General features: G+C 42.4%; 2 annotated features.

Annotated features, from left to right (window-relative positions):
- Nucleotides 6,396-7,018: an enhancer, noted in NCBI's record as "H3K27ac-H3K4me1 hESC enhancer chr1:59672311-59672933 (GRCh37/hg19 assembly coordinates)". NCBI's record gives its function as "activates a minimal SCP1, AML or CMV promoter by ChIP-STARR-seq in naive H9 embryonic stem cells {active_cell/tissue: H9 hESC(naive)}" and the evidence as "EXISTENCE:reporter gene assay evidence [ECO:0000049][PMID:30033119]".
- Nucleotides 18,294-18,588: a silencer, noted in NCBI's record as "tiled region #10857; HepG2 Repressive DNase matched - State 8:EnhW". NCBI's record gives its function as "represses a minimal TATA promoter and a strong SV40 promoter by Sharpr-MPRA in HepG2 cells {active_cell/tissue: HepG2}" and the evidence as "EXISTENCE:reporter gene assay evidence [ECO:0000049][PMID:27701403]".

Genomic DNA, 20,374 nt, shown 5'->3' on the forward strand with positions numbered 1-20,374 from the left:
TGTAAATACTTCACAAGACTTGGCCCAGCAATTTGGCCAAAATAGCACTGAATGTAGAATAATAATCCTAGCTTTACAGGTCATAATCAAATATCATTAAAATCTTGTAGATAACACAGAATAAAGGAAAGTTAGAGCTATGATTTTGTAATTCCCCCCAAATGTTATTATTATATATATCAGCGTCTAGGTTCAGTTGTCTACCACAATTTAATGGCTTTACTAATAAACAACTAAATGAACAAAAGGATCTTTTGGTAACGAAGGTTAAAAATTCAGGATTTGGAATCAAATAGATTCAATTTCTGAATACAGTTTTGCCACCTTCCATGTGACTTTGAGACAAGCTAACCTTTCTGACTTTCAGGTGTTCTTTCCATAAAATAGGCTGAAAATACAAATTTTATTGTGGTAATTAAGTGATGTATGTTTCTATTATCTGCTGCTGCCTATCAAACCACCCTAACATTTAGTGGCTGAAAACAACAATGAATGATTAGCTCTCACAGTTTTGTGGGTTGGCTGAGCTCAGCCAGGCAGTGCTTGCTTAGAGTCTCTCAGGTAGTTGCAGTCAGATGTTGGCTGGGGCTGAAGTCATCTGAAGGCTCAACTGAGCTACATGTCCAAGATGGTGCACTCATCTGGCTGGCAGTTGGTGCCAGCCGGGAGATCAGCAAGGCCTACGAACTGAGGCACTTAAACATGGCCATTCTATGTGTCATGGATTGGGTTGCCCAAAGCACTGGGGCTGAGTTCCAAGGAATAGTATTACAAAGACCCACACGAAAGCTTCAGCTTCTTGTGAGCTTGCCCTGGCTCACAGATCATTATTTTTCCCACGTTCTGGTGGTCAGGTAAGTCACTGAAGCCAGCCCAGAGTCAAAGGGAAGACTTAAGTTAACTTCACCTCTTGATGTAGGAACTGGGAGCAGTCATCTGTGGATACTACCAACCACAAAGCACATGGCATACCATACACACAATGAATATCAGTTCACTCTGCCCAATTTTTACTTTAACTCATTACTTTTAAAAAACCTTCAAATATGTATTTTTAGAAAGTTCAAGCTGAGCAAAATTGGACTTTAAAAATGGTCTAAGAGAGTCTTTTCTTATTCTACAGATGGGAAAACTGGAGCCCAAAGGATGGAAATACTGAACCCATGGGCTCTGTCACTAGACTGCATCCCAGGGCCTCAACATAATATATTCTTAGTAAGTATTTGGTCATGAAGCAAATAGTTCTGCAATTTCTTTGCTGTTTTAAAGTATTTCCACATATACTACTGAAAGGTAAAGTGAGAGAATGGAAAGTTCCCAGATTTTGAAATGAATAGATTTGAATTAGAATTCTAGCTCTTTTTACTTCATGATTTCAGGCAAGTTGGTTAACTTCACTTAGCCTCAATTTTTCTAACTCTAAAGAAAGTCTAATAAAACATAGATTACCAGGACACTGTGTGTGCTGAGGTCAAATAGCTGATACAAAACAAATGCTCAGTTTTGGCAGCCATTTTTATTTTTTAAGTTTCACAAAAGCCCTGTGAGGTGGGCATTGGAGTCCCACTTTACAGATTGGAAAACTGAGCTTTAGAAAGAGTGGGTGGTTTGTTTTGTATCACACAGCTAGCAAATGGCAGCTGGAAGATTCGAAATTGAGCTTTGATTCAACTGGGGAAGTACCTTCCTACCAATCAACCCCACACCCACCTTCACGGTCTTCTTTAAGAAGCAGAACAGAGATCCTGGGTAGAAACAATTTTCTAAGCAAATTCATATTCAGGATTTTTTCCATGAAGGGAAAGAAAATTTCCATATATCATAGTCTGCCCAATAATCTAACACTTTAGAATTTTTAGTTTCCATGTTTCTTTGATCTTCAATAGCACATGAGATAGGAAAGGCAAAGATTATCATGACTATTATATAGATGAGAAAATTGAGGCTTAGTTTTAGCAAAAGGACTATGGCTATATGACTATGCTGGGAAGAGAGTGCTGATCATACTCTTTGCCATTGGATACATAGGAAATGAAAAATTAAAGGGAGCACAGAAAATTTTGACTATAATCCTTTCATCCTCATTAAACTGGTATCATAACTACCTTTGATAAGCCAGTTGTGAACCTTGTCAAAAACTACAACAGCCCTGGAGGGAAGGACATAAACAGTGGGTAATTAGAACAAGAGTGAGGCAGAAACCATAGGGGGAGGAAAAGGAAACTAGCTACTCAATGGACAGGCTCTGGCCAGCCCCCAAAGGAGCTGCCCTCCTTAATCCACTGCGCAGGGAAGGATTACTCCCTGGTCCCCCACCCACCCACTCACCCACCCCTTTTAATTGCTGATCCCACTCTTCATGCAGATGTTAACATCTGCCCCTGAACTCAACAAGGGGCCAGTCATTGGAAAGAAGACTACTCCCATCTGTGCATGGCACAGGTTTTAGAAAGGTTATTTGGAAATATGTGCTCTAGGTCCCATGAGAGAGTGACTTGAGAGGAAAAGTATTTTTTGTTGTTTTTGCTGATTGTTTTTTGGGTTGCTTTCCTCCCCATCTACCACCCCTTCCCCTACTACCAAGAAAATGCACTTGAGAATCTCCCTTTTCCCACCCTTTTTCCTCAAAGCAAAATCAGTAATTTCAACAGTTTCCCATTTTCAAAAGGTGAAAAAGCAGAATGATGGCCAGGCGAGTTCTCTGGCTAGGAAGAAGCCCAGCTGGTATACACCATTTTTCTGCACTTCCCCTGGGCAGCCAGATGACTAGGATTCAAGGACCAGCCTACCACTTTCTAAGCTGTTTGCCTTGGACAAATGACTTATTGCCTCTGAACTTCACTTTACTCACCTGTAAAATGAGGAGACTCCAGAAGAATGAGAAGATTCCATGAGATGACTCTAGCAGATCCATTTCAGAAAATACTCTGCGTGTGAAGTTATTACAAGGAACTTGGCAGGCACACTCCCCTTCACCTATGGGGCTTTTCTTTTTTCTTCCATGAGAGCTTCTACCCAGATATGCAGATAGAAGAAATGTATTGGTCCCAAAGACAACAATGTCTGTGAAGCAGGATTCAAAGAGATGAAGGGAGGGGAGAACAAGCCTTTCAAATTATAGCAAGTGGGTGGTCTTCAACTGCTTTTACTTCTTTTTAAAATTCCAGATCATACTGGGGTAACCTATTAGAAAGAACCCTGTCCTGGAATCCTGGAAAAGAGGCCCTGCTAGGAGCTGACCTTGGACAAATCACTCCCTTCTCTGAACCTCACTGTTCAGGGGGCTGAGAACAGAGGGTCCCTAAGGAAGAGTGTTGTATGAGAACAGTCTCCGCTCTTGACCCAAGCAAACCTGGCTTCAAATCTCAACTCCTGTGGCTGACTAGCTGTATGACCTTGACCTTTCTCAGTTTCCTCATCTATAAAGCAGGATTAATAAAAGGTACCTATCTAATATGACTGTTCTGAGAATAAAATGAAATAAACTACATAGGTGATTTGACATTGTGCTTGGTTTACAGTAGGTGTTTAATAAAAGGAAATTGCTATATTATTAAAACTGTCATCATCATTATTGTTGTTAGTCTATAACTGTTGGAATTTCAAAAAGGCTCTACTCCTGAGTTTTTTGTGCTCTTTAAGTTGAGGTCAGTCTCAGCAAGGTGTGTTCTGAATGGCTACATTCTCCCCAAGGGTCACACACCACCACCAGAGAGGGTGTGCATCCCATCTGGTGCACAACTTAAGAAGGGAAATCATGCCTTCCTGTGTCCTTTCTCCAGAGCCTCCTGTCTTCCTCCTAGCATTGCTCTGCTGGCCCAGGTTTAAGAGCTGGAGCTGCTGTGCTATGGGCTTACACTGGTCAGGCAGCCAGGAGGAAGAGGAAACCAGAATAAACATGTTTTGCAAGACCAAGTCTGGTTTAAATGAAAGCAATTCTAAATAAGGACAATACAGTCTTATAGAGCCAGTGCCTGGGCCGCCTGTTGGCAGTTTCCTCTACAGAGGGGTTTGCCATGGAAAACCAAAGGTCAGACTGATAAGCTGAAACTGCCTGCAGCCAGGCTGGCAGGAGGCTCATGACAAGACCTCCTCATCCAGCATTTGAATCCATCCCAGGCCAGAGGATGTGATTACAGAGGCAGGGAATCCAAGGACCCAGTCTGGCCTCCAATCCTAGCTCCTCACTCACTCTCTATTGTAAACTAAGGCAATGATAAACATTGCCTATCTATCAAAAAAGAAGAAAAAAGAAAATTGTTCTGGGTTCCTATGAAAATAAAAAGAGATATTATGTCAACGTGGTTATAAACTGTAAAGTGATTAGCAAAGCTCAAGAGTTAGAAATAGGTTTTAATAGTTCCCCTGCCTGCTAGCTGTGTGACCCTGGGCAAGTCCATTTATTTTTCTGAAACTCAATTTCCTGTTTTGTGTGTTTCATATTTGTCCTGAATTCTAATGATTCCAGGATTCATCAAAACAGGAAAGTATAATAACTTGGTTTGTTAGTTTCCTGTGGCTGCTGTAACAAATTACCACAAACTTGTTGGTTTAAAACAATAGAAATGTATTCTCTCATTGTTCTGGAGACCAGAAATCAGTTTCACTAGTCCAAAATGAGAGTGTCTTCCCAGATACTCTAGGGGAAAATCTGTGCCTTGCCTTTCCCAGCTTCTGGTGGCTGCCAGCATTTCTTGGCTTGTGGCTGCATCACTTTGACCTCTATCTCCATGTTCAAGCTGTTTTCTCTTCTGTGTGTAGTCAAGTCTCCTTCTGCCTCTCCCATATAAAGACAATTGTGATTTCATTTAGGACCAATCTGGGTGATCCAGAACTAACTCCTCATCTCAAGACCCTTAACTTAAATCTACAAAGTCTTTGCTAACAAGGTAACTTACAGGTCCCACAGATTAGGACTTGATATCTTGGAGTTCCATTATGCACCCTTAATGAACTTTCCTTTGATTATTAAAGAGATGGAGAGTCTCAGAAGGATCTCATCATTTAAAAAAATCTCGAGATGGAAGCTGAGAATCAGGAAGGGACTATTGAAGCATGTCAGAAATAATGTTGAAATTCTTTATATTATCATGCCTTGAAGAGAACCCCATCTTAGTTATCTCTTTATCCCAACCAAGAGACCTAGCAGAAATACTCAAAAAATAAATGAATGGATGTATGGAAATATATGCATATATTTGCACTTCATCTTGAGTATGGCAGAGTGGTTGTGTAAACAGATTGAAATTAGATGACCTGAGTGAAACCCTTGCTAGTTGTAAGACTTTTGACAAGTTATTTAATCTGAGAGGCTTTAGTGTTCTCCCATATAAAATAAAAATAATTGTATGATCTACCTGATAGAATTTTGCAAGGATAAATGAGGTGATCTGTGTAAAGGAATTTGCACAGTACCTGGCATGTGATAACTTTTATATATTAATTAGATATTATTAACTTTAAAAGTTCAAGTTTAACATATCATTTGTATATACCAAGAATTGGCTAATTTTGGAGGAGAGGGGAAGATGACTAATTTAGGGAGAAATAAGGGGACTAGAAATATATTTTCAGACTTACGCTAAACAATTCCACGAATTGTTTTCCATTCCATCTTCAACCCAGATTCTACCAAGACCAAGAATGAGTTTTGTCTCTAGGTTTTATTCCTTGGTAAAAGACTTCGATGAACTGAAGTCTTTATTTTAGGAATCACTTCATGCAATAAATATATTCTGAGTACCTATGACCAAGAACCTTTCTGAACTCTCTTCTTCTGGAATGCTAGGAATAAGGCAAAGGCTGGACTAGACATTAAGAGTGCCATAGGTCCACAGCTACTGTATGGTATGGCTCTAAACCACAATTATGGCTCAGGTGGTCAGATGGACTTGGGTGAGGACAAGATTGGCAAATGAAAGAATCGTATCTTCAGGAGTGGCTGGCAACATGGCCGAATAGGAACAGCTCCGGTCTGCAGCTCCCAGCAAGATCAGTGCAGAAGGTGGGTGATTTCTGCATTTCCAACTGAGGTACTCGGCTCATCTCATTGCAACTGGTTAGACAGTGGGTGCAGCCCATGGAGGGCGAGCCAAAGCAGGGTGGGGCGTTGCCTCACCTGGGAAGCACAAGGGTTGGGGAACTCCCTCCCCTAGCCAAGGGAAGCCATGAGGGACTGTGCGGTGAGGACAGGTGCATTCTGGCCCAGATACTACGCTTTTCCCATGGTCTTAGCAACCTGCAGACCAGGAGATTCCCTCGGTGCCTACACCACCAGGGCCGTGGGTTTCAAGCACAAAACTGGGTGGCCCTTTGGGCAGACACCAAGCTAGCTGCAGGGTTTTTTTTTTTTTTCATACCCCAGTGGCACCTGGAATGCCTGTGAGACAGAACCTTTCACTGCCCTGGAAAGGGGGCTGAAGCCAGGGAGCCAAGAGGTCTAGCTCAGCAGATCCCAGCCCCACAGAGCCGAGCAAGCTAAGATCCACTGGCTTGAAATTCTTGCTGCCAGCACAGCAGTCTGAAGTCAACATGGGACCCTTGAGATTGGTGGGGGAAGGGGCGTCTGGCATTACTGAGACTTGAGTAGCAGTTTTCCCCGCACAGTGTAAACAAAGCCACCAGGAAGTTCGAACTGGGAGGAGCCCACCACAGCTCAGCAAAGCCACTGTAGCCAGACTGCCTCTCTAGATTCCTCCTCTCTGGGCAGGACATCTCTGAAAGAAAGGCAGAAGCCCCAGTCAGGGGCTTTTAGATAAAATTCCCATCTCCCTGGGACAGAGCACCTGGGGGAAGGGGCAGCTGTGGGCGCAGGTTCAGCAGACTTAAACGTTCCTGCCTGCTGGCTCTGAAGAAAGCAGCGGATCTCCCAGCACAGCACTTGAGTTGTGCTAAGGGACAGACGGCCTCCTCGAGTGGGTCCCTGACCTTCGTGTCTCCTGACTGGGGGACAACTCCCAGCACGGGTCGAGAGACACATGATACAGGAGAGCTCCGGCTGGCATCTAGCACAAGTCCCTCTGGGACGAAGCTTCCAGAGGAAGGAACAGGCTGCAATCTTTGGGGTTCTGCAGCCTCCCCTGGTGATATCCAGGTAAGCAGGGTCTAGAGTGGACCTCCAGCAAACTCGAGCAGACCTGTAGCAGAGGGGTCTGCCTGACTGTTAGAAGGAAAACTAACAAACAGAAAGGAATAGCATCAACATCACCAAAAAGAACGACCACATGAAAACCCCATCTGAAGGTAACCAACATCAAAGACCAAAGGTAGATAAATGCGCGAAGATGAGGAAAAACCAGCATAAAAAGGCTGAAAATTCCAAAAACAAGAATGCCTCTTCTCCTCCAAAGGATCACAACTCGTTGCCAGCAAGGGAACAAAACTTGACAGAGAATGGGTTTGACGAATTGGCAGAAGTAGGCTTCAGAAGGAGGGCAATAACAAACTCCTCCAAGCTAAAGAAGCATGTTCTAACCCAATGCAAGGAAGCTAAGAACCTTAAAAAAAGGTTAGAGAAATTGCTAACTAGAATAACCAGTTCAGAGAAGAACATAAATGACCTGATGGAGCTGAAAAACACAGCACGAGAACTTCATGAAGCATACACAACTATCAGTAGCCGAATCGATCAAGTGGAAGAAAGATTATCAGAAATGAATGATCAACTTAATGAAATAAAGTGTGAAGACAAGATTAGAGAAAAAAGAATGAAAAGGAATGAACAAAGCCTCCAAGAAATATGGGACTATGTGAAAAGACCAAGCCTACCTTTGGTTGGTGTACCTGAAAGTGATGGGGAGAGTGGAACCAAATTCAGAGCCGAATTCTACTAGAGGTACAAAGAAGAGCTGGTACCATTCCTTCTAAAAATATTCCAAACACTAGAAAAAGAAGGACTCCTCCCTAACACATTTTATGAGGTCTGCATCATCCTGATACCAAAACCTGGCAGAGACACAACAAAAAAAGAAAATTTCAGGCCAATATCCCTGATGAACATTGATGCAAAAATCCTTAATAAAATACTGGCAAACCAAATCCAGCAGCACATCAAAAAGCTTATCCACCATGACCAAGTCGGCTTCAGCCCTGGGATACAAGGCTGGTTCAGCATATGCAAATCAGTAAACATAATCCATCACATAAACAGAACCAATGACAAAAACCACATGATTATCTCAATAGATGCAGAAAAGGCCTTTGATAAAATTCAACACCCCTTCATGCTAAAAACTCTCAATAAACTAGGTATTGATGGAATGTATCTCAAAATAGTAAGAGCTATTTATGACAAACCCATAGCCAATATCATACTGAATGGGCAAAAGGTGGAAGCATTCCCTTTGAAAACCAGCACAAGACAAGGATGCCCTCTCTCACCACTCCTATTCAACATAGTATTGGAAGCTCTGGCCAGGGCAATCAGGCAAGAGAAAGAAATAAAGGATATTCAAATAGGAAGACAGGAAGTCAAATTGTCTCTGTTTGCAGATGACATGATTGTATATTTAGAAAACCCCATCGTCTCAGGCCCAAATCTCCTTAAGCTGATAAGCAACTTCAGCAAAGTCTCAGGATACAAAATCAATGTGCAAAAATCACAAGCATTCCTACACACCAATAATAGATGAACAGCCAAATCATGAGTGAACTCCATTCACAATTGCTACAAAGAGAATTAAATACCTAGGAATACAACTTACAAGGGATGTGAAGGACCTCTTCAAGGAGAACTACAAACCACTGCCCAAGGTAATAAGAGAGGACACAAACAAATGGAAAAACATTCCATGCTCATGGATAGGAAGAATCCATATCATGAATATGGCCATAATGCCCAAAGTAATTTATAGATTCAGTGCTATCCCCATCAAGCTACCATTGACTTTCTTCACAGAATTAGAAAAAACTACTTTAAATTTCATATGGAACCCAAAAAGAGCCTGTATAGCAAAGACAATCCTAAGCAAAAAGAACAAAGCTGGAGGTATCACGCTACCTGACTTCAAACTATACTACAAGGCTACAGTAACCAAAACAGCATGGTACTGGTACCAAAACAGAGATATAGGTCAGTGGAACAGAACAGAGCCCTCAGAAATAACACCACACATTTACAACCACCTGATCTTTGACAAACCTGACAAAAACAAGAAATGGGGAAAGGATTTCCTATTTAATAAATGGTTTTGGGAAAACTGGCTAGCCATATGCAGAAAACTGAAACTGGACCACTTCCTTATACAAAAATTAACTCAAGATGAATTAAAGACTTAAACGTAAGACCTAAAACCATAAAAACCCTAGAACAAAACCTAGGCAATACCATTCAGGACATAGGCATGGGCAAAGACTTCATGACTAAAACAACAAATGCAATGGCAACAAAAGCCAAAATTGACAAATGGGATCTCATTAAACTAAAGAGCTTCTGCACAGCAAAGGAAACTATCATCAGAGTGAACAGGCAAACTACAGAATGGGAGAAAATTTTTGCAATCTATTCATCTGACAAATAACTAATATCCAGAATACACAAGGGACTTAAGCAAATTTACAAGAAAAAACAAACAATCCCATCAAAAACTGGGCGGAGGATATGAACAGACACTTATTTTATTTATTTACTTTTTTTGAGATGGAGTCTCGCTCTGTTGCCCAGGCTGGAGTGCAGTGACATGATCTTGGCTCACTGCAAGCTCCACCTCCTGGATTCTTGCCATTCTCCTGCCTCAGCCTCCCGAGTAGCTGGGACTACAGGAACCTGCCACCACGCCTGGCTAATTTTTTGTATTTTTTAGTAGAGACGGGGTTTCACCATGTTAGCCAGGATGGTCTCTATCTCCTGACCTCATGATCCGCCAACCTCAGCTTTCCAAAGTGCTGGGATTACAGGCGTGAGCCACTGTGCCCATCCCAGACACTTCTGAAAAGAAGACATTTATGCGCCCAACAAACATATGGAAAAAAAGCTCATTATCACTGGTCATTAGAGAAATGCAAATCAAAACCACAATGAGATACCATCTTATGCCAATTAGAATGACAATCATTAAAATGTCAGGAAACAACAGATGCTGGAAAGGATGTGGAGAAATAGGAACTGTTTTACACTGTTGGTGGGAGTGTAAATTAGTTCAACCATTGTGGAAGACAGTGTGGCAATTCCTCAAGGATCTAGAACCAGAAATACCGTTTGACCCAGCAATCCCATCACTGGGTATATACCCAAAGATTTATAAATCATTCTGCTATAAAGACACATGCACATGTATGTGTATTGCAGCACTGTTCGCAATAGCAAAGACTTGGAACCAACACAAATGCCCATCAATGACAGACTGGATAAAGAAAATGTGGCACATAAACACCATGAAATACTATGCAGCCATAAAAAAGGAGGAGTTCATGTCCTTTGCAGGGATATTCATGAAGCTGGAAGCCATCATTCTCAGCAAACTAACAAAGGAACAGAAAACCAAACACCACATGTTCTCACTCATAAGTGGGTGTTGAAAAATGAGAACACATGTACACAGGGAGGGGAAGGCCACATACCAGGACCTGTCGGGGGTGGTGGCCTAGGGGAGGGATAGCATTAGGAGAAATACCTAATGTACATGACGGGTTGATGGGTGCGGCAAACAACCATGCCTCGTGTATACCTATGTAACAAACCTGCACCTTCAGCACATGTATCCCAGAACTTAAAGTAAGGTAAAATAGTGTACCTGAATCAAAAAAAAAAAAAAAGAAAAAAAAAGAAAAGAAAAGAAAAGAAAGAATAGTATCTTCATCAAGGAGAACTAGAAAAGATAGCAAAACCTAGATACCAAATCCCAAGGGAACAGAAGGCCTTAGAAATGACAAGAAGTTGGATGAGATGAAGCACCTGGAATTGATGTTGTTGTTGTTGTGTGGCTTTTTATGTGCTTGATTTGTTTGAAAGAGCAGGCTGCATTTAAAGGACTTATTTTTCAAGATTGTATGCTCTACCAAGAAAACAGACATGTACACAATGAATTTAAGACGCACTATAAAAAAATGTCATTTTAGAGATGCAATAGGGCAAGGATAAAAAGCAAAAAAAACCCAGCTCAAAAAGAGAGAAAGAGGATGAGTTAGCGAGAGTGTTCCAAAGAAAGTTACACTGTTTCTTGTAACCTTTCAAACCATCCTTTGAAGAATCAAATATGAGAGACCTCGAGAGATCATCTGACTTACACTTCTGCCTTCAGGGGCCTGGTTATCCCCATTTTATAGATAACATTGCTGAGGTGCAAAGAAGCACAGGAAATGGTGTTGGAGTGAAAATGATACAAAGGTCTTTCTGCTTCTTGGTACTGTTTCCTTCAAGACGGGATAAATAAGGAGAAAATACAAATTTTAAAATCATAATTGTTAGATCCCTTGTCTCAGCTAAAGTATAATTTGAGGGTGACAGAAAAGACAAATAAAAATGAGATAAACAGATAGAAATGTATTTCTGTGTTGTATAAAAGAAATTTAGAGATACTTGTAGACAAATGTTTGTATTTCACAATACCTAAAATGTGGAAACAACCCAAACGTCCAACAAATTAATGGATGATCAAAAGGTGGTATATTTATACCATGGAATATTATTCAGCCATAAAAAATGAACAAAGTACTGATATGTGATATAATGTGGATGAGCCTCAAAAACATGCTAACTAAAAGAAAACAAACTCAAATGGTCACATATCATAAAATTCTGTTTGTATGAAATGTCTATCATTGGCAAATCCATAGAGACCCTGGAATTGAACAGAGGTGACATCTGTACAGTATAGTACATACATTAAATGCACTGGATTGTGCACTTTGAAATGGTTAATGGTTAATTTTATGTTATGTAAATTTTACCTCAATTAAAAGAAATCCAGAGGTGAGAAATCAGAACTGACAGGCAGCTTTCTGAAAACGTTGGGGCAGGGGGCATCCAGGCTCTTTCTGTCTCGAAATTCTGCCATCAACAGGTTTTAGCTTCTACCTCATGGTCCAAAATGGCTGCTCAGACTCTAAGAATAGCAATTGCATTTCAGCCATCAGGGAGGAAAAAATAACAACATGGGGAATGAGGGAAGGATTCTGAAGAAGTGCCGTAAAAATTGAGATTTTGAAGAATGTGAGGGAATTAGCCAAGGGAAGAACGGCAAGGAAGAGCTTCCCAGAAAAAGAAGTGAGAGGGTGCAGGTCTCAGTTCTGAGAGGGTGGTGGGTGGAGGAACCAAGAGAAGCCCAGCAGGGCTGGCACATGGGGAGTGAGGGGAAGAGGTAGGCATGGACTGGATGACCCAGCCAGCAATAGACCCTGTCTGGCTCTGAAAATCTATTACATTTCCTCTCACCATCTTAGTTCTTGGTCATTTTTACCACACTATACTTCTGAGCCTTAAGGAAATTGATTCAATTAAAAAAAAAACTGAATGAGAAAAGAGTTTGGAGATGGCCTTTGGTATGCATAAAAGCACACATTTTATCTTCCAGGCAAGTACATTTTGAAGTTATTTACCTCTCAAAGACAGCTGCCAAGGACCCTATGATTCAAGGGTTCTCTCCTGCCTCCTGACAGCGTGTTTTACTGCTGCCCTTCCAGAGGTCTTCTGCACTGTCTCCCTCTTTCAATGACCTCATTCTCAGTGCCAGTGAGAGCCAAGGTAAATCGTGCAGACTTACAATCAGGGCCAGCAGCTGAGATGTGAACTGGCCATTTGTCTCCCCAGGACCCAGGGGAATGGCATTTGGTAGAATGAGGAGGAGGAAGCTACTGCCTTAGGTCACCCATGCCCACTACTCTTTTTGTTTTGGCTTTGACAGGATCTTTAATTTTATGTGCCGGGGGCACAGCTGGGGCTAGCCTGCCCTGGCTGAACCTTGTAGGGCTGAGGAGAGAAAGCAAGGACTTGCTGAGCTCATCTGGGGCTCTAGGACACTTTGGCATGCCCTGAAGATGTCACAGTTTGTTGTGATGACCAAGAATGGCTGAGCTGGAGGACTGGAGTCTTGGATAGGTAATAAGATTTTCCCAAGGGCAGACATTGAGGTTTGAGGTACCCTGGTCAGCTCAAGAGTTGCAGGTGATATCATTAAATGTTTTTTTGTACTAACCCAAGAGAACTCCCTCCAAATTGCTGGATTTTCACCAGAAAATTTGAAGACAGAGGATTAAAGAAGAAATAAGCATGCAAAAATCAATAGAGGATGAAGACTCTATTGGGGCTATGTATAAGACAGTGTTTTCCAGTGAGCTCTCATCTGAGAATAATAGCTTCTACCAGTTGATTGCTAACCATGTGTTTAATCCTAAGTGCATTATATGTTTAAATTCATTTTGTCATTGGCACAATACTGTAAAGTATTATGATTGTCTCCATTTCACCAGTTGGAAACTAAGGCTTAACAGGTGATGGGACTTGCTCAAAGTCACCCAGCTATTAAGAGATGGAACCAATATCAAAACCCAGTTATGTATATCCTCAAGGTCCATGTTCTTAGTCAATATCCTTTACTATTTCCCTTTAAACTCTACTAACCAGCATTCCTCTCTTCAGGTAGACATAAAATCATTTTTCATAGTGCTGGAAGAGATTTGAAGAACTCACCAAATTCCCATTTGATTAAAAATAGAAACAGGGTAGCTGAAGACCTGCGATGAAGGTTGTCAATTGACAGAAGGTCAAGGAGAAGCACAGCCTTCTACCTCCTGCCACCTCACAGTGGTCTGCAAAGCTCCTGATATAGGCTGGGTAGTTTCCATTCACTCCTGCAAATTCACTCTCCAGCCTCAGTCTCTGTGGGGCCCAGTAGCCTACCACCCATACACCACATCAACTTTCTGGATTCCAGTCCAATTTGGCATAGGGAAGGCATCCTCAAGAGAGCTGAAGGCAAGAGAGAGAGAGGTTAGGGTCTGTATTCCCTGGTCTCCTTGTGTGGGGCCACAGGTTCTCAGTGGCCATGTTCCTCTAACAAAGGCCTTGACTCCCATCAGGCAGTCCTCTGCCAAATCGCCAGCATAGCTCTTGTGCTCTCTAAGGGCTCTGCTACCCGCCCCTGGTACTTCACCATCCTGTGTTTATTTCCCTTAATTCCATCCATACGTTTGTTAATAGTCCCTTCATCAAACTCTTCTCAGTAACCTCATTTGAGTGGGATGCTTCCTGTTAGGACACAGGGTAATTCAATACTAGAGTTTTAGGTGTGGAAGGGATGTCACAGTCTTCTACTCCTGTGGTTTCCAAACATTTTATTTTTACCTGCATAAATCTGGTAAGAACCTCAGTTATGAAACCAACAAAGTTCTGGAAGTCTGTGGAACCCTGCCTGCCTAGAATTTCACCCAAAACACCCCTCTTCCCTGACTCCCCCAAACTCCTCTGTGAAACCCAAGGATTTAGAGCAAATGCTCCAAAACCGGCTGACCTAATTCAAACCCCTCACTGTATATGAGGGGAGGAGGCAGTTGGCAAAGTTTCCAAAGTGTCCTTTGTTGGCCTGAGTGGGTCTGATTTATGCCCTAGGCCTTCATCAACAGTTTGCCTCAATATCTTCCAAAGTGTAAAGTCCCGTAAATCTTCCCTGAGAGCAACAACTCGACCACCAGTTCATGTTATACAAACACACAGAAATGTCATTAAGGCAACAAACAGCTCTGCTGGCCCCGGCAGAGGCCTTTTCTGCCAGGCTCAAGTTACTTAAAATCAATATTTGAACAAGGACAAAACCACATGTTTTCAAAACCAAATTAGAAGGGTCTAATACCAGGCCTGGAGATGTGGTTACATCACGCGCATTCCAGCTGGCCCCTTGGGCCTCTGCCGTTGGGCCTGATCAGCCTGCCCAAGCTCCTACCCCCTGATACAGTCACTGGACTTACTTGTCCTGAGCATCTGACCTCACCAGACAGGTGACACTGAGGAAGAGAATAAGCAAGAAATAGGAACTTTCACAGAGCCAAGCACAGGACCTGAGTTTACAAACCAAAGCAAGTTAGCTGTGTTCACTCATTCAATCCTGTCATTTATTCCAAACCTGCATGAGACTCTACACTAAGATCTGGGCATCCAAAAGTGTACCAACTCATGACACTCTGCTCTCAGGGGATTTGCAGTATAGTGTGGAAGGCAGAGAACGCAACGGGACATTTCAATGCAGTAAGACAAGTGCCAGTGTTTCAGGTAAGTTCAGGGAGCTGTGTAGGCACAGGGCAGGGACAGGTAACCAGGGCCTGATTGAGGAACTGTCCGAGAATGTTTCCCATAGCAGATATGCCCAAAGGAACTCTGTCTAACCTACTATTCTGGCTTTGCTATATATCAGGCCTGGTGGAGGAAAGGGTGGATGAGAAGAGAGAAAACCTCTGCCTTCTCCCAGAAGGACCAGGTGTGTGAAAAAGACTTTTAGCTTCTACCTGGGAAGAGCACCTGATCTGATTGGTGAATTGGGATGAGAGCTGAAGCATGCCCAGCTCAGCATCTCTGCCCACTCTCTTTTCAGAGCCAGCCGGTCCAGAGAACCCCCAACACTGTCATCCCCACCACCCATCGTCTGCTTGAGTAAAGGTGGCCGTGAGTACAGGCTCCATGGCATAAGCCTCTGGCATGGCCCATTCTCAAACAAAATTCTCTCTGAGCCACATCAGGCTCTTCAGGTTCAGCATTCAATGACTCAGCAATGGAGTCATCATCTTTCTTAGGACAGTATTCCGGGCCTTCAGGATCCTGCAGGTGACTGCCACCTGTCTGTGCTCTTCACTTGCCCAGTTCCACTGTGTTTCAGGACACGTCTTCCCTGATGAGTCAGTGAGCTCTCTTCTGTCTCCATGCCTGCACACACATCAGTCCCTAAGCTGGAAATGCCTTCCCCCATCCACAGCATGAACCCATGGTCTCTTTTAAGACTCAGTATAAGTGTCCCTTTCCCCGGGATGCTGTCCCTGGTTTTCCTCCACTTTCCCCAGGCAAAATGTACATGTTCTATCCTCCATGCTCATTTAGAATTTAGCTATTAAAGTATTTGACCCTTTGATATGGAACTGCTTATTTACTTGCCTGTCTCTCATGGGTGTAAGAATTGTATTTTGTTCACCCACTTGTTTCTTCAATCACTCATTTCATTAAACTAACTTTGATTGAGCTCTACTCTAGGCCAGGTACTGGACTCTGGAGGTACACAAAGAAAAAGATCATGATCTCACCTTCAAAGGATTTCTTGTCTAATAGAAAAAATTAAGACGCATTTCTCTCCCACAAAATAGAGAATACACGAAAGGAATCTACCTAGAGGAGTGAGATGGGCTTCACAGAAGAAGATTTCATTTCAGCTTAGTGGTGAAGGGAAGGTAGAATTTAGCCAAGCAGATTCTTAAAATTGTAAAAGAAAAACAAAGAAAGAAAGAAAGAAAGAAAGAAAGAAAGAAAGAAAGAAAGAAAGAAAGAAAGAGAAAGAAAGAAAGAAAGAAAGAAAGAAAGAAGGAAAGAAAGAAAGAAAGAAAGAGAAGGAGAGAGGGAGGCAGGAAGGGAGGGAGGGTAAGGGGGGGAGAGAGAGAGAGAAAGAGAAAGAAGGAAAGAGAGAAAGAGAAAGAAGGAAAGAAAGAAAGAAAGAAAGAAAAGAAAGAGAAAGAAGAGAGAAGAGAAGAGAAGAGAAGAGAAAAGAAAAGACCTAGGCAGAATTAAATAGCAGCCATGACCCAGAAGCCTGAAATAGTCCATCTTATTTAGGAACTTGCAAGTGTGTAGTTCAATATGGTTGTGGAAGCAAATGCAGGGAAGTGGGACAGAGCAGGTCAAGTACGGTGGGAGGAGAACAAGGAGAAGCCATAAGCAAGGACTAGGCCTAAGCTGGGTCACGGAGGGTGAGCCAGGTTGTGTGCATGCCACGTTAGGGAGCCTGTACTTTCTTCAGTCAGTTGTTGAAGGCTTTCAGGGTCCTAGCTAGATCTGTGAGCTAGGAAGATCATTTGCCTCTGTTTCCCCAGTGCCAATAAGACTAAAAGTTTTATAAACATTTGATGCTGAATCTGAACATTATCACCTGTCCCAAGACACTGCAATTTTCAAGAGGCCAGGCCACTCTGCCATGGTGGGGAGCAGTCACCTTCCTCGGGTGGGATCAGAACTACAGGCAGTCCTTGCCTTTAACAACTTGAATTCCATTCAAAGTGCTGCTTAATTAACACCCAATCCTCAGTTCTCACTATGATTACCTAGACCATACATGTATTAGTCAGTTTTCATGCTGCTGATAAAGACATACCTGAGACTGGGTAATTTATACAGAAAAGAAGGGTTTATTGGACTTATAGTTCCACGTGGCTGGGGAAGCCTCATAATCATGGTGGAAGGCAAGAAAGAGCAAGTCACATCTTACATGGATGGAAGCAGGCAAAGAGAGAGCTTGTGCAGGGAAACTTTGCCTCATAAAGCCATCAGATCTCATGAGACCTATTCACTATCACTAGAACAGCACGGGAAAGACCTGCCCCCATGATTCAATTACCTCCCACAGGTCCCTCCCACAACATGTGGGAGTTCAAGATGATATTTGGGTGGGAACACAGCCAAATCATATCAATATATTACCCAAATAAGGACAGGCACAGCAGACACCCTTTCTTACCCTTTTACCCTCTCCCTCTGCTCATCAATCAGCACCTGAAATTTCCATGTATTCATCTCCCAAATCATCCCTTTCCTCAGCATCAGGCTGTTTCTGTCAGATGTTAGTCTTCTGTGATAGGCAGAGTATCAGAGTTCCCCAGAGAAATAACAGGGTATATATGTGTATATTTGTATGTGTGTGTGTGTGTGTGTGTGTGTGTGTGTGTATACATGTGTGTGTGTGTGTCTGTGTGTGTATAGAGAGTGAGAGAGGAGAGAGAGAGAATTTTTTTAAACTTTTATTTTAGGTTTGGGGGTACAAGTGAAGGTTTGTTACTTAGAAAAGAGATTTTGTATAAGGTATTAGCTCACACAATTATGGAGGTGAAGAAATCCCACCATCTGCCATCTGTAAGCTGGAGACTCTGGCAAGCTGGTGGTATATAGTTTGAAGACCCTAGAACCTTAGAGCCAAGGGTGTAGATTCCAAGTCTGAAGGCCTGAGAACTAGGAGCATCAAGGGCAGGAGAACACCAGTGTTCAGCTCAGTCAGTCAGACAGAAGGCAAATTCTACCTTCTTCTACTTTTTTGTTCTATTCAGGCCCTCAATAGATTGGATGACTCCCACTCACTTTGGGGAGGGCTGTCTGCTTTACTCATTCCATAAATTCAAATGCTAATTTCCTCGGAGACATCCACAGAGACACAACCAGAAATAATGCGTAACCAGCTATTTGGGCATCTCTTGGCCCAGTCAGATTGACACATAAAAGTAACCATCCCAGGCAGCTTCTGAAATGGTTCCCAGTGACCCTTTGTGTTAGTTTACTAGAGTTGTCACAACAGAGTCCCACAGGAATTGAGTGGCTTCCGCAATAGAAATTGATTGCCTCATAGCCTGGAGGCCAGAAATCCAAAATCAAGGTGTTGACCTTCTGAGGTCTGTGAGGGACAATCTGTTTCAGGCCTCTCCCCATGGCTTGTAGATGGCTGTCTTACTGTTTATATGTATGCATTGTTCTCCTTGTATGCAGGTCTGTCTCTAAATTTTCCCTTTTGGTAAGGATACCAGTCATATTGGACTAGGGCCCACCCTAGTGACCTTGTTTTAACTTGATTACCTCTGCAAAGACCATATGTCCAAATAAGGTTACATTCTGAGCTATTGAGGTTTAGGACTTCAACATATGAATTTAGAGAATTAGGCACAAAGTTCAAACCACAATATCCCTCTCGTATTTCTGCTCGTGTATAAATCCCCCTCCCTTGAGTGTGGGCTGGACTAATAGACTTGCTTCTAAAGAATAGAATATGGCAAAAATGAGGAAATGTTACCTCCAACATTAGGTTATAAAAGAATATGACTTCCATCTTGTTAGCATGCTCTCTCTCTCTCTCTCTGGTTCTTCTCACTAGTTCTGTTTCAAGGAATATATCACATTATGAGCTGCTCTCAGGCCACATGAGAGCACCTAGCCACATGACAATAAGATGGCCTCCAGCCAATAGTCAACAAGCAACTGAACCCTCCAACCATGTGAGCTTGGAAGGCTCTTCTCTTCAAGTTGAGCCTTGAGATGACCGCTGCCCCAGCCAACTCTTGACTGTAGACTGTGACAGACCCTGACAGATCCAGCTAAGCCACCCATTGATAAGCCAGGCCTGGAGGAATGTTGTTGTTTCAGTCCACTAAATTTGGGGTGATTTGTTATGCAGCAATAGACAACTAATATATTCTCCATCACCTCAGACCCAGCTTCTCTCTCTCTCTGCCTCCACCCTGCACCCTTTGTAACCTCTTTATGCCTTACAAATTTCCCCAATTAAAAACTTGTTGTAGTTCCCCACTGCTCTCAGGATAAAGAGCAGTCCCCATCTTCATCTTCAGCTTTGAAAGGCAAGACAATTTGCTTTGAAGAAGACAAAATTGGGTTCAAATTATGGCTCTGCTATTTACTATTAGTGTGACTTCTGTGCTCTATTCCTTGTCTGTAAAATAGGGATACTAATTTCTTATTGAACAAATACTTATTGAAAGCAGGCTATCTACAGGATTATGCTAGGTGCAAAGGATGCAATAATTAATAAGAAATAGTCTCTACCTTCAAAGAACAGAAACAAACAGTTTAATTTATAACTACCATAGAGTGTATTATGTGCTATGACAAAGAAAATAAAACAGACTAAGAATAGTTAATGTGTACTGAATTCTTACTGTACAAATACTTTAGATGTATTTATGATGTAATCACCACAGCTGTCCTATGAGGTACTGTTAACTCCATCTTTCAGATGAACAAACCGAAGCTGAGAAAAGTTAACCAACTTGCTCAAAGTCACACAAATAGTAAGTTGGGAGACTAGATTCAAACTCTGGTTTATGTCACTCCAGAGCTCTCACTTTTTTTCTAATATGCTATGCCGTCTGTGATTGATCTCACAGTTGGGGTCTCAAGAAGCAGACACCAAGATTAATTTTGGAATACAAAGTGTTTAGTAGTAATGAGCACCTGTGCAAGGAAGAGGAAGGAAGCAGGATTGAGCAGAAGGAGAAGTTGAACCTTGAAGCAAGCTTAACCAAGGCTTAGCTAACACAGCAAGGGACTCCAGTGCTAACTGCCCAACGGTGAAGTTTTCCTCAGGCTAAAATGGTTAGGCCTTCATGCCGCTGACTTGCTCAATACCAGTGGGTGCAGGTGCGTGATTCCAGGAAAAGCATTTTTCTGTAGCTCAAGCTGACCCTGGAGGAGCTG

The sequence above is a fragment of the Homo sapiens genome, chromosome 1 (genome assembly GCF_000001405.40).
Source record: "Homo sapiens chromosome 1, GRCh38.p14 Primary Assembly".
Taxonomy (NCBI): domain Eukaryota; kingdom Metazoa; phylum Chordata; class Mammalia; order Primates; family Hominidae; genus Homo; species Homo sapiens.